Source organism: Homo sapiens, chromosome 3, assembly GCF_000001405.40.
Source record: "Homo sapiens chromosome 3, GRCh38.p14 Primary Assembly".
Lineage (NCBI taxonomy): Eukaryota > Metazoa > Chordata > Mammalia > Primates > Hominidae > Homo > Homo sapiens.
This window is the reverse complement of record NC_000003.12, coordinates 146,250,186-146,264,450: the sequence shown is the minus strand read 5'-3', so window position 1 is coordinate 146,264,450 and position 14,265 is coordinate 146,250,186. Positions and strand designations below refer to the sequence as shown.

At 39.1% G+C, this 14,265-nt stretch overlaps 1 protein-coding gene across 8 annotated transcripts in view, besides 2 other annotated features; it reads left to right on the top strand.

Moving 5' to 3' along the window:
* Window positions 6,253-7,241: an enhancer, noted in NCBI's record as "OCT4-NANOG-H3K27ac-H3K4me1 hESC enhancer chr3:145974997-145975985 (GRCh37/hg19 assembly coordinates)". NCBI's record gives its function as "activates a minimal SCP1, AML or CMV promoter by ChIP-STARR-seq in naive H9 embryonic stem cells {active_cell/tissue: H9 hESC(naive)}" and the evidence as "EXISTENCE:reporter gene assay evidence [ECO:0000049][PMID:30033119]".
* Window positions 7,242-8,231: an enhancer, noted in NCBI's record as "OCT4-NANOG-H3K27ac-H3K4me1 hESC enhancer chr3:145974007-145974996 (GRCh37/hg19 assembly coordinates)". NCBI's record gives its function as "activates a minimal SCP1, AML or CMV promoter by ChIP-STARR-seq in naive H9 embryonic stem cells {active_cell/tissue: H9 hESC(naive)}" and the evidence as "EXISTENCE:reporter gene assay evidence [ECO:0000049][PMID:30033119]".
* The window catches only part of PLSCR4 (phospholipid scramblase 4), a 58,771-nt gene continuing 57,851 nt past the window's right edge, over window positions 13,346-14,265 (top strand). For 4 of the 8 annotated variants that reach the window (NM_001177304.2, NM_001128306.2, NM_020353.3 and 1 more), the window contains exon 1: window positions 13,346-13,491. The gene's annotated coding sequence lies outside the window, so the exon portion shown is untranslated. Of the gene's footprint in view, window positions 13,492-13,813; window positions 13,895-14,265 lie in introns of those variants that run through there. The other 4 variants (XM_017006921.2, XM_005247654.3, NM_001128304.2 and 1 more) reach the window with 2 other exon arrangements.

The following is a 14,265-nucleotide window of genomic DNA, read 5'->3' as shown; positions in this document are numbered from 1 at the left end:
ATTTTGGATCTACTTTTATTAAACTGTTGTGTTTCTGCTTTTGTGGCATTGTTTTACTTCTCATGCATTAGAATATCTCAATTCTTTCTATTAATATACATTTCTTATCTCAGCTCCACTGTAAAATCATATTTTATTCCCTCCAAAGTCTTTCTCACAAAGTCCAATTAATACATCCATGCACTAACTTAAGTCTCATCAATGAGACTTGCTTTCCTAAAATTGTGTTCTATAATTACATTTCTATGTAAACATAGCCCTGTAGACACTTAACAACTATATACAGCTGGAAAAACTTAAACATTCTTCAGGCTACCCTGTCTCACTCTGACCCTCCATTCCTTGCCCTTCCTCTTTCCTTCTCTACCCAAAGTGTAGCAAGATTAAGGTATTACTGAGAAATGACAGGTAACAGTAATTACAACTCTTTTTTAGTTTTCCTTTCACAGGTCAAGGATTTCTTTGTTTCTAGTTATAAAGTATTTTTTCAATTTCTGCATCCTAATAGGTAGGTGAAAAAGTATTAATATGGAAGAGATAAGATACTGGGACTGCTAATGAGTGTGAATAGCATCCTGTGATAGGTAGGCAGTAATTACATCATTAAGGTCATGAGGAGAATGTCTGTCACCTGTACCCACCCCAGAGTTTCTTTTACACATGGCTTCACAGATATAAGACAGAGACCACAGGCTTCTGAGTCAGTTTATGTTATTCCTTTTGCGTTTTACAGATGCAAGTAAATAACATGTTTTTGGGGTTGTTTTGTGCTTTCAAATGGATGCTTTATTTCACTATTTGTTCCTTATTTTTATTCCCAAGGAATCCAAACAGATAGCTCAGGGTAGATAAGTACTTTAAAAATATCTGTTGAATGAAATAACATAATGCTGTTTTTATGTGTGTTTCAACCCCCTCATCATGTTAAGCTCCAAAGCTAGAATTTACTAGCTTTCCAAATTATGAAAACTGGCTGATATTCTTCTCTGTATAAATTTAGTTTCAAACCTTATTCAAATTTGTTAGGTTTCTAGTTCTAGATTGTTCCTCCTTGCAAAACACCCTGTGGATGCAGCTGAAATTATTTGCATCTCTTATAATTGTATCATGGCCTTATTATGTGTAATAATAACATTTCAGAAAATATCTAGTTGAAATATATATTGAATATAAATCATTATATATCCAGACCCAGTTTAAATTTAAATATACAGGCCACAATTACAAAAGTAATTTGCAGAGAGTAATATCACTTTGGGAATTCCTATGCCAGCAATTAGTTTTATGGGTAAATACAACAGAATTAGGAAGGGCTAGGCAAGGAGTTGCATGGAGAAACATATAAAAGGAGTTGAAATAAAAATAAAATGAATTCATGAACTACATATTATTCTCATGCCACTCTCTCTCCTGCTCCGGCACCACCTATTTTTGTTTTGTTTTGTATTGTTTTGTTCTGTCAGCATACAATATTCCTCCCTCAGGATCTCTATGCTAGTTGTTCTCTATTTCTGGAATACTAGTAAACACCATATGTTTGCCTAGTTGTTTTTTTCTAATCATTTGGCATGAATGTTACTTTCTCCAGTGACCAAGATGCCTTTCCTGAATACTATTTGTAATGTAGTCCCACCTCACCATCTTCCATATCACCTTGCTTTATTACTTCCAAACTACTTTTCATGCTCTAAAATTATTTTGCAATCCACTTCGTTGTTTATTGGCTCTGATCTGACAAGAATGTAAGTTCTAGGAGGGCAGAAACCCTGTCTTATTTTCTACTGAATCTCCAGCACCTAGTATAGAACCAGCTCAAAGTACTCAGTAAATCAGAATGGAGAGGTCATGGAAGGATTCCCAAAGTGGGTGATATTTAAAATGAGTCTGGGAGAATGAATGGAATGTAGCCAGATGGAGAAATGAGGATAAAGCAGTGGCAAAATATTTATGAAGTCATAAACCTCACAGTGTCATGAACCAACATAATACAATGGTGAATTTATATAGATACAGATACAGATATATGTATATAGATAGATAGATATAGTATCTAGCATATCACTAGAACATGGAAAACAGGGAAGTGCTACATGGTGAAGCAAAAAAAAAAAATTAAGCAAATGCAAGAAAATTAGGGCTGTATGTTCTACAATACATATTAAGAGTTTTCTTGAAAACTGTAGGCTTTAAAATGAAAAATCTTCCCTGAAAAATGAAAGACTTTAACCTGGAAGTGACATTATCAGCTTTGTATTTCAGAAGTCTTGAGCAATTTTGTAGAAAAAATAGACTCTTTTCATTACATGTTTAAGACTTTAGTAAATTTTTTAACATTCATTATTTTAAATCACTGACACATACTTGAATAACTCACATTCCTAAATATATACATAAAATGTCAGTAGATCTGATTCAGCCAAAATTCTTTAAATCAGCAAATAATTCACTTTGCATATAGACACTATACAAAAAGAATTTGTTATTTATCGACATTTAAGGACAATGGCAAACTTGTGTGTCTTTAATCACAACTTAAACATTCACACTATTGAATTAAATGCCCTGATGTTATAATAATTATGCAGATTGTGACATACGAGGCTGCCGTGTACAAAATTTGAATTTAAAATACTCTTTTCATCGATATATAGTTAAATTACTTGCCTGACTTCAAGAAATATTTCCTTTTTCTCATTTTTGCTTTTGGGAATGCCAGCCTCAAAAATTTTCTAGTTCCTCAAATTTTTGTTGAACTGCATTAACCATTTTAGGATTTTGTAAAAATATATAAATACGTAATGATCACATGGCCTAGCCATTAGTAAAGTATAAATACTCTAAATTTAAAATAGTTTTAGACATTTCACAGATATATTTGTATTAATCTGTCTGAAGTATACCTAAGATAAAATATTGTTAAATTAAAAAGTAAGATTTAAATATATCTCTATGAATAGACAGAAAAGTTGGTTAATATGCTTTGTGAAAGGAAAAAAGAGATACCCTATAATTAAATTTCAAGGAACAGAGCACGCTTTTGAAAAAGATTGTTTTACTGTCTCTTTCTACATTGAATTGAATATCATAACATTTTAAACAAAGTTTATGACAGTAAGCTTTAGATTCAATACAGACTTTGGTTCAGATCTCAGCTCCATCACTTGTTGGGTCAAGTTACTTATCCTCTCAAGCCACAGTTTTCTCATTTTTTTCCTCTTTCCACTACTGCCACACCCCAGATAACCCATATTTATAAAAGTAGTTTGTTCTTCCATTTTTCCCCATGCTTATGTAATCACATGTAAGCATATCTAGTGTATGCATACATATAAGCATGGCGTATATATCTATATGTAAGTATATATAAAGTTTTTTCCAACAAAATTTAACCATTGTGTTTTTAGAGCAATTTTACTTCAGAAAGATTTAAGATCCTTTTCCATTTGTAAGCAATCATTTCTAAATATGCTTCTCGATGTATTTAAATGATAATTGATAGAAGTTCCGTATGTTCCCCCAAATACTTCAGTTGCTCTTTTACATTCTTTATTCTTGTGTTCTTGGAGATGCAACTCACTTTCTACTCCATGTATCAAGGTCAATTTGACCCAGATAGCATAAATGAGTTCAAGCTTTTAAAATCATATCAACTATAGCCATGGGGACAAAAATCATGAAAATATTGTATTGAAATCACTCTCAATTTTCTTTTCAACATCACAGAATGTGTGAAGATTCAGAAAACTAGTAAAAAGCGAATTGTGTCCCAATTTTCAAGAAAAGAAAATATTGACTTGTAGAAATTACACACAGAAACACTCACACATTTTGTAATAGTTTCCTAGTATTGCCTTAAAAAATTACCACACACGAGATCATTTAAAACAACGGAATTTTATTTTCTCTCAGTTGTGAAGGCCAGAAAACTGAAAATATATATATATATGTTGGTAGGGTTATTTCCTTCTTGCAGACTCAGAAAGAATTTGTTTCATGCCTCTCTCTTAGACTCTAGTGGTTGCTGGCAATCCTTGGTGCTCCTTATCTAGACGCATCACTCTAATCTCTGTCTTTATTGTCACATGGGTTCTCTCTGTGTGTCTGTCTCTGTATCCAAATTTCTCTCTTCTTATAAGGCCACAGTTATTGGATTAGGGTGCACCCTAATACGGTATTGGTTTTCTTTTATTTTGATTACATCTATACAGACAATTTCTAAATAAAATCATATCAAAATATCTTTTTGGGGGACACAACTCAACTAACAACGCATTGTAATGTCAGTTTCAGGCAAATTTATAGTACAGAAGTTGTAAATAATAGCATTTGAGCATTTAACAAAGGCAGTATTGTGTTCTCAATCAAATCTTATAAAATGGACTCATTTCCCCTTCCCTCCTGACTGGTGGAGTAGAGAGATCATGAGCATGTCATAATAAACACTGTTTTTAACACATTAAGCAGAGATTTTAATATTCATTGCTGTGAGCAAGACATTTTAAAATGTGGATTATGTAAAAGGAAAGTCTAAATGGATTTTTAGCTGGTTGAACAATTACAGAAGGTATTGATTACTGAATTTCTGTCATCCTAGAGGTTAATCTCAGAAATGACCTATTAGATTCTTTATCTAACCCAACATTTGTTTCAGTGACATAAATTTAGACATAAAGAAAAAGATTATCAAATTCCATGTGACAAAATCTAAGAAAATGGCTAACATGATAGGTAAACATAATACAGATTCAATTATTAACCTTAATATGCTACATCTGATTTTAGTCACAAGGCTGAGAAGCCAAATGGGCTTAATAAGGAAGATAAAATTATATAGGCACAGTGTGAGTTTCTATTTCTAAAATCAAAAATCAGCTGTCCACACAATAACCATATCTGCAGTTTTAAAAAGCTGGTTAGATGAGAGCCTCCTAAACATGGCTCATCTGATTGTGTTCTTAACTCCCATAACATTTATGTCAAATCCATCTGTGAAGAGCATCTGATAATGAGAAACTATATCCTGAAACACATTGTTGCTGGTGTCCCGTTCCTATCTAATGCTGCACACAAATAGAAATGTTTCCCATTTTTCAAATATTTTTCTCACACTGATTGGTCAGAGGGCAAATTTATTTATCATCTTGGCCTATGTGAAAAGGTATAAAAATTGTGAAACCAATGAAGCACTTTAAATCAAAAAATCATGAGGGTAGTATTGAAAACAGTGGACAATTTGCTTTATATTGTTTACTGGTAAAACCACCAAGCCATTACTTCAGGTGCTAGAAAGAGCCTTTCTCTCACTATACTCCTCTACCTCCACCCACAACATCAGCCGTGGGCTCATTTCTTAACACGTTTGCCTACTTTTTTATTAAAATTATTTGGTTTCCATATCTCTTATCCTTTGCATATAGAACTTATTGGACTAAAGAATTGAGCTCAGGAAATAAAAGCTCATCTATCAGATATTAACAATGATAATATTCTTTCTAGTACACAATGAAAAGACTGACTCTAAGGTAATAATGTTAGGGTTTAATGAACCACAAATATAGTATTACTTATAATACTAGGAGTAAATAATATGCCAATAAAACTAATGCAATTAGGCCTCATTAATAGAGACCTATTGATATATTATTGTATTATCTAAACATCAGATCAAATATTAGAAGGCAATGAATAAACCTAAGGAAGGTAGTCTTAATGTAAGGGATCTGCAATAATGACAAATAGAGACAGCAAAAGGAAATAAGGCTGTTTGGTCTTAGGAAGAAAATACTTAAGGAAAAGTTAATAGCTATTTACAACAATTTACAGCGTTATTATATTAAATAAGTAAGAAAAATATTCTCTTTTGGGATAAAGGATACATGTACATTTAGTTTAATAAAAAAAATTTCTAACAGTTTGGCATGTCTGAAAATAAATTGCTTTCAAAAGTTATGAATTTGTGAGAGTTGGAGCTCCAATGATGATAAGTTAGCTTGGATTGCAATAATCTTTCCCTAGATAACAATAATAAACTCTGGGAAAATATAAAATAAAAACTATTTGAAGGCACTGGAGAACAATCAAAAGCTGACAGAAATTGTAAGGCATCTGACTGGTAATATTGTCTGGATATCTGTCCTCTCCAAATCTCATGTTGAAATGCGATTCCCAATGTTGAAAGTAGGGCTTAGTCGGTGATGATTGGATCATGAGGGTGGGTCGAGGGTAGGTCCCACCTCCTCATGAACGGTTTAGCACCATCTCCTTGATAAGTGTGTACTTACTCAGTTATTTCACATGAGATCTGGTTGTTTAAAAGAGTACGGGACTTCCCCCTTCTCTCTCTTGTTCCCTCATTCACCATGTGATGTGTCTGCCCCCGCTTTGCCTTTTGCCATGAGAAAAGGCTCTGGAGGCCTCACCAGCAGCCAAGAAGATGCAGGCACCATGTTTCCTGTACAGCCTGCAGAACTATGAGCCAATTAAATCTCTTTTCTTTATAATTCAGCCAGCTTCAGATATGTCTTTGGAGCAACACAAAAACATCATGTTGATACAGACTATTGGTCCCAGGAGTGCAGTATTGCTATAAAGATACCTGAAAATGTGGAAATGGCTTTGGAACTAGGTAATGGGCAGAGGCTGGAAGAGTTTAGAGGGTTCAGAACAAGACAGAAAGATGAGGGGAAGTTTGGAACTTCTTAAATGGTGAAATGGCTGTGATCAAAATGCTGATTAAAATATGGACAGTGAAGTCCAGACTGAGGAGGTCTCAGATGGAAATAAGGAATTTATTGGGAACAGGAGTGAAGGTAGCCCCCGTTACGCCCTCGCAAAGAACTTAGCTGCAGTGTGTCCATGACTTAGGGTTCTGTGGAAGTTTGAACTCAAGAGTAATGACCTAGGAGGCTATCTGGTGGAAGAAATTTCTAAGCAGCAAAGCATTCAAGATGTGGTCTGGCTGTTTCTAACAGTTTACCATCAGGTACTGGAGCAAAGAAGTGATTTAAAGTTGGAACTTAAATATAAAAGGGAAGCAAAGTTTAAACATTTGGAAAATTCAGAACCTGGCCATGTGGCTAAAAAGGGAAACGCATTTTCAAGAGAGAAATATATGCAGGTTGCAGAGCAGCAACTTGTTAGAGAGATTAGCATGACTAAAAGGGAACCAAGTGCTAATATCCAAGACAATGAGGAAAAGATCTAGCAGGCATTTGAGAAATCTCTATGGTAGACCCTCCCATCAAAGGTTCAGAGGCCCAGGCAGAAAAAATTGTTTAGTGGAGCAGGCTCATGGCCCTGCTGCCCTGTGCAACCTCTGGACATTGTTCCCCAAATCCTGGCCTCTCCAGCTGCTAGAGTTCAAAGAGCCTCTGGCATAGCTTGAGCCATTGCTTTGGAGGGGATAAGCCATAAGTCTTGGCAGCATCCATGTGGTGTTAAGTATGCAGGCCCATGGTATGCAAGTTTGAAGAAGACTTGGCAGCTTTCCACTCGATTTCAGAGGATGTATAAGAAAGCTTGGCTGCCCGGGCAGGAGCCTGCTACAGGGGCAGAGTCCTCACAGAGAATCTCTACTAGGACAGCACAGAGGGGAAATGTGGGGTTGGAGCCCCAACACAGAGGCCCCACGAGGGCACTACCTAATGGAGCTGTGGGAAATGTGGGGTTGGAGCCCCAACACAGAGTCCCCACGAGGGCACTACCTAATGGAGCTGTGGGGAGGGGGCTGCCAGCCTTCAGACCCCAGAATGGTAGAGCCACTGACAGCTTGCAACCTCATCCTGGAACCAAAACAGGCAACCAACTCCAACCTATGAGAGTAGCCATGGGGGCTACATCCTGGAATGCCACAGGGGTGGAGCTGCCCAAGGTGTTGGGAGCCCACTACTTGCATCAGTGTGCCCTGGATGTGGGACATGGAGTCAAAGGAGATTTTGGAGCTTTGAGATTCAATGACTGCTCTGTTGGGATGCAGACTTGTGTGGGGCCTATTGCCCCTTTCGTTTGGCCAATTTCTCCCTTTTGGAATGGGAATGTTTACCCAATGCCTGTACCACCACAGTATCTTGTAGGTAAATAACTTGATTTTAATCTCACTGTCATAGGTGGAAAAAAAAAACAACTCCATATGAAACTTTGGACTTGTGACTTGGAATTTGGGACTTTTGAGTAATACTGGAAAAAGTTATAACTTTGGGGAACTATTGTGAAGGCAATATTGTATTTTAAAATTTGAAAAGGACATAAGTTTTGAGGGGCAAGGAGTAGAATGATATGGTTTGGATATTTGTCCCCTCAAAATCTCCTGCTGAAATGTGATTCCCAATATTAGAGGTGGGGCCTGGTGGGAGGTGATTACATGATGAGGATGGGTCCCTGATGAATGGTTTAGACCAGCCCCTTACTGATAACTGACTTTTTGCTCAATTAATTCATGTGAGAACTTAAAGACTTTAAAAGAGTCTGGGACCTTTCCCTTTTCCCATGTGACATGCCTACTCCTCCTTTGCCTTCTTCCATGAGTAAGAACTCCCTGAGTCCTCCCCAGAAGCAGACCAGATTTAGGTGCTTCCTGTATAAGCTGCAGAACTGCGAGCCAACTAAATCACTATTCTTTTAAATTACCCAGCCTCAGGTATTTTTTTGTGGTGATGCAAAAATGTCTTAATTCAACTAGTGAAGAAGGGAATTACAATGACTGAGTGAGACCCACGCTTATAGACACTTTCCCTGTGGGTACTCCCAGTTCTCAGATGTAACGTAGCTAGAACTCAAGTAGGATGCATCAGAATTACTGAGTTGTGATATCGGTGTAGAGATTTCAGGCTACCAGGGTGCTTATAAATGAAGAGTAATCCCAGAAAGTAGGGAGACACAGAGACAATAATATTAATACCTGCCAATTAAAAGTCCTCAAATCCTTGACTGACCGTGGAACTGTGTGTCTATTGGGGACGCTCCAATGATGCCAGCAGAAAGGAGAAGGCAGCAGCTGAAAGGACTGGACAGAGATTTCAATTGCTGTATACAGCAAATGAAATACTGTTTGGAATCTGAGTAACACAAAGGATAGAGGAGCCTAGTAAAATCTTCAGGTATTCAATAGTCATGCCTTAAAGTATAAACCAATGGCTCCGGATGTTAAAGGTGATCAGCCCTCAAATGCCTGCCAGAGAATGCTTTCTCCTTAGAGGAAGAAGACATAACTCAGATATATTATTTGCAATGCCCTGTGCATAATAAAAAAGTAATATCCATTGTAAGAAAAAGAAAATCATGACTCATCATCCAAAAAAAAAAAAAAAAAAAAAACCAGCCCATAGAAATACATGACAAGGTGAAATACATGTTGATATAAAGTAGTAAAACAGTATGTTAGGGTGTTCTTGCATTGCTATAAAGGAATACTTGAGACTGAGTAATTTATAAAGAAAAGAGGTTTAATTGGTTCTGCAGGCTGTACAGGAAGCACTTGAGACTGGGTAATTTATAAAGAAAAGAGGTTTAATTGGCTCTGCAGGCTGTACAGGTTTAAATGGTTCTGCAGGCTGCACAGGAAGCACAGTGATACCATCTGCCTCTAGTGAGGCATCAAGAAGCTTACAATCACGGCAGAAAGCAAACGGGGAGCAGGTGTATTAATGGCAAGAGCTGGAGTGAGACAGAGAGGGGAGAGGACACACTCTTTTAAATAACCAGATCTCACAGGAACTACCAGAGCAAGAACACACTCATCACTAAGGCAATGGCACTAAGCCATTCACAGGAGATTCTCCCTTATAATCCAAACACCTCCCAACAGGCCACCTTTAACACTGGGGATTACATTTCAACATGAAATTTGGGAGGGACACAGATCCAAACCTTATCAAACAGTTATTATAAGTTAAAAAGTTAAGAAAATGATGGTCTTAGTGAATGAACAGATGTGAAATCTCATCAAAAGACATGGAAGCTGCACAAATGAACCAAATAGAAATACTAGCACTGAAAAGTGTTAATACTGTAATGGACTTAACAGTAGATTGAAATAAGGGTCAGCATATTTTTGAGACGGATCCATAGAAATTATTTAACTTAAAGAGAAAAAAATCAAAAAAATGTAAATAAAGTCTTGGTGAGCTGTGAGTCAGTATCATATGGTCCAACATACAATTAATTGAACTGAATTTCCAGAAGGAGAAGAGAGAGAAATGGGTATGGTGCAGTAAAGAAATAATGACTGCAAGTTTTTCAAATTTTGTGAATAATATCTACTTATGTATCTGTGAAACTCAGAAAACCACAGTAGAATACAGAAAGAAGCATACATCATAGACTAACTGCAGAAAAACCAATGATAAAAAGTTATTCTTAAAACCAACAATATGCATTCTGTCAGATAAAAATGGAGGTCAAAATTGTTGGGGAATAAAATAAAAAAAATCTGTACACCCAGAATTCTATAACCAGTAAAAATATCATTACAAAATTCATACAAAATAAAAACATTTTTAGATTTAAAAATCTAAAAAGATTTTGTCTGTAGCTGTTCTGCACTACAAGAAATACTAAAGGGACTAGGTATAGTGGCTCACACCTGTATCCCAGCACTTTGGTAGGTCAAGGCAGGCAGACTGCTTGAATCCAGGAGTTTTAGACCAGTCCATGTAACAAAGCCAAATCTTGTCTCCCCCCTCCAAAAAAAAAAAAAAAAATTAGCTGGGCATGGTGGCATGTGCCTGTAATCTCAGCTACTTGGGACGCTGAGGTGGAAGAATCACCTGAGCCCAGGAGGTCGAGGCCGCAGTGGGCTGAGGTTGTGCCACTGTACTCCAGCCTAGGCAACCAGAGTGAGACACTGTCTCAAAAATAACAAGAACTACTATAGGAAAGTCTCTAGCCTGAAGGTAAGTGATAATAGGTGAAATTAAGATCTATAAGAAAAAAAACGAGGAGCACAGGAAATTGTGTATATGTGGAAATATAGAAAAGCTATTTTCTTCTTTTAATTTCTGTAAAAGACAATGCACTAGTTAAGCAAAACTTAAAACATTTTGTTGTGTAAAGTCTATAATTAATGGGTATGTAAAATCTGATAGCATTTGCACATACAATTGAGGAACTGTAAAGTAATTATAAATTTCTTAACTTTATGTGAAGTGGTACATTATTAACTCTAAGTAGACTGTGGTAACCTAAGAACAACCAGTGAAAAGGAAATAACACGAAGAAATACACTTGGAGCAACAGAGCAACTAAAATGGGATTAGTATAAAAAGTAGTTAATTTGTCATCCCTCGAAATGTCCAGGTTGGAAAGTCATCAGATCAGGAAATTTCAGAAAAACAGGAAATTGAGTTCTTCTTCTTCCCCTCGAAAGTTGTGATTTGGGGTATATGACATACTTGATTTTATTTTAATCCCTCAAAGCAATATGTTTCACAAGACATGTTTTGCTCTTGAAATTTTTGGTATCTTCACGTGGCCACTGTGGATGTTTACATTCATAAGCTCAATTACTTGGCCTCTTTCATAAATTTTAAACAAAGGTAACATGCCGAGACCAGCTCAGTCGGGGAGACCCTAACCCAGCGGCGCTAGAGGAATTAAAGACACACACACAGAAATATAGAGGTGTCAAGTGGGAAATCAGGGGTGTCATAGCCTTCAGAGCTGACACCCCCGAACAGAGATTTACCCACGTATTAACAGCAAACCAGTCATTAGCATTGTTTCTATAGATGTTAAATTAACTAAAAGTATCCCTTAAGGGAAACGAAGGGATGGGCCGGATTAACTGCAGCAGGAACACGCCCTTAAGACACAGACCGCTCATGCTCATTGTTTGTGGCTTAACAATGCCTTTAAGCGGTTTTCGCCCTGAGCGGGCCAGGTGTTCCTCACCCTCACTCCCGTAAACCCACAACCTTCCAGCTTGGGCATTAGGGCCATTATGAACATGTTACAGTGCTGCAGAGATTTTGTTTATGGCCAGTCTTGGGGCCAGTTTATGGCCAGATTTTGGGGGGCTTGCTCCCAACAGTAACATATGCTATTATAATTTAGTTTCACCACCAGTTTCTTTGTTTTATGCTTTCAGTAAAACACTATGTCTGCATCTGAGAAATGTTCTGTGCAATTATTACTGAGAAGAACAGTATGAATTTTTTAATCTATTCTCACATGAATATTAACAAATAACACACATACAAAGAAAAATATAAAATTCTAGAACTCCACTCCCACATCCCTTCCCCTTTCCAACCTTCTCCCACAATGGGGTTCTGCCAAGTACTCCTCAGAGCTTAATCAAGCTTACTTCTGTCCAGTTCTGATTCTTTATAAGGTCAGAGGACCTTCAGTTCTCCCACTTCCTGTCAGTGTATTGTGCTTCTCTCCAAGCACCACCACAGAACTGAATCCCATTGGTCTGAAAGAAATATTTGTGCCTAACAGTAATAAGCAAATGGCATTTTTCTCCCAATGTCAGAAAACATGGGCAACCTGCTCCCTTTCCCCTTTATTGGCGTCTCTCCCGCCTTCCCTCCAAGATCAAATTGGCCTCCCCCAATTCTGTGGAAAAGAAAACAGAATTTCTGGGCCCTATGCCCAAGTGTTTCCAGCCAGCACGGCATTGCCAAGGCTAAATCACCAAGCCAAGGACCTGGGGGTGGGCGCAAATGCAAATCAAAAAGGCTCTTGAGGCCGGGTGCAGTGGCTCACGCCTGTAATCCCAGCACTTTTGGAGGCCGAGGCGGGCGGATCACGAGGTCAGGAGATCGAAACCATCCTGGCTAACACGGTGAAACCCCGTCTCTAGTAAAAAATACAAAAAATTAGCCGGGCGTGGTGGCGGGCGCCTGTAGTCCCAGCTGCTAGGGAGGCTGAGGCAGGAGAATGGCCTGAACCTGGGAGGCGGAGCTTGCAGTGAGCCGAGATCGCGCCACTGCACTCCAGCCTGGGCGACAGAGTGAGACTCCGTATCAAAAATAAAAATAAAAAAATAAAAAAGGCTCTTGAGAAAGAGGGGTTTCTTCATTTTCTCTCTAGGCGCAGTAATCTATGAACAAAGCTCCCTTTCCCAGGCCCTGCAACCTGCCCCTCTGATTGGAAGTGACCGTGGGCTGGCTTTTATCTTTTCTTTCACCTCTTATTAGAGTAGTGACAACTTATTTTCTTCATTTCTTCCTCCCCCTCGGCTTTTAGGTTTCAGCGGACTTCAGGGTGCCCCACCTCTTCCAGGAAGACGCTCCCCCGGGCTGGCGGCTCTCCCAGCGCGGGGCGGGGTCCGAGACGGGGAAGCCGCGCGCGGGGAAGGAGGGTCCAGGCGTGCCGGACCCGCCCCCAGAACCCGCGCCTAGCCCTCCCTTCCGCGCGCTTACTTTGTTTATAACTTGAAAAATCCTCTCCGTCTCCCTTCCCTGCCTCCTTTCCTTTCCCTTTCCTCTGCCAGTACAACTAGACCCGGCGTCTGGCGTCCCCGGTGCCCAGCATTCTGCGGGGCAGGCGGTGAGTGGGGCTGGACAGGCGGGCGCAGAGCAGGACAGGGTGGCGCGGGCGCCCGGGCTGCGGGGCCGAGGGCGTCGTCAGGGGAGGCCCGAGGCCGCGGTGCCTGCGGGCAGGCGCGGAGGTTGCGCGGCGTCCTGCGCTAGCAGTTCCCGGACACTGCGCTCGCGTCGCATCCTCAGGTGGTTGCAGAAGTTCCGTGGTGTCGGGCGCGCGTCTGCACTGCAGACGCAGAGGGTTTGGGAGCGAGCAGTTTCCTGCCCAGGGATGGGGGTCCTGGCTGCACTTCACGGGGGCGGCCCTTTCGTTTCGCTCTGCGTGACAGGTCTCGCTTGATTGGGTTTCTCATGGGTCTCTGGCGTTTCTACGGCGCGGCTCTCACGGACTCAGGCCAGGCCACTCGCAGGTAAAAACGCTATTTATAGTAACTTTTTAATTGCTCAGCGAGTGGAGGCGGTGACAGGAGAGAATCCCTCTCTCTTATTTCCAATTCTGGCAAACTGGGGCGATTTGGGGCTGTGCTTGATTTGTTTTTAAAAACGTTCATATTTAAAGACTTAGGATTTTATTTTGTGGCCTTATCTTCTCTTAGGATCTACAATTTAGTTTTTAATTTTATACTGCATTTAGAATGGAGCCACCAAAATAAGTACTTGTGAAGATATAATGCACCAAACTTGATACTGCTTAAAGGGGAATAGATTGCCTAATTTAAATTGCATTCTCCTGTAATAGTAATAGAACACAACCTCCATCTGTCTATCTGCTCTCATGGAT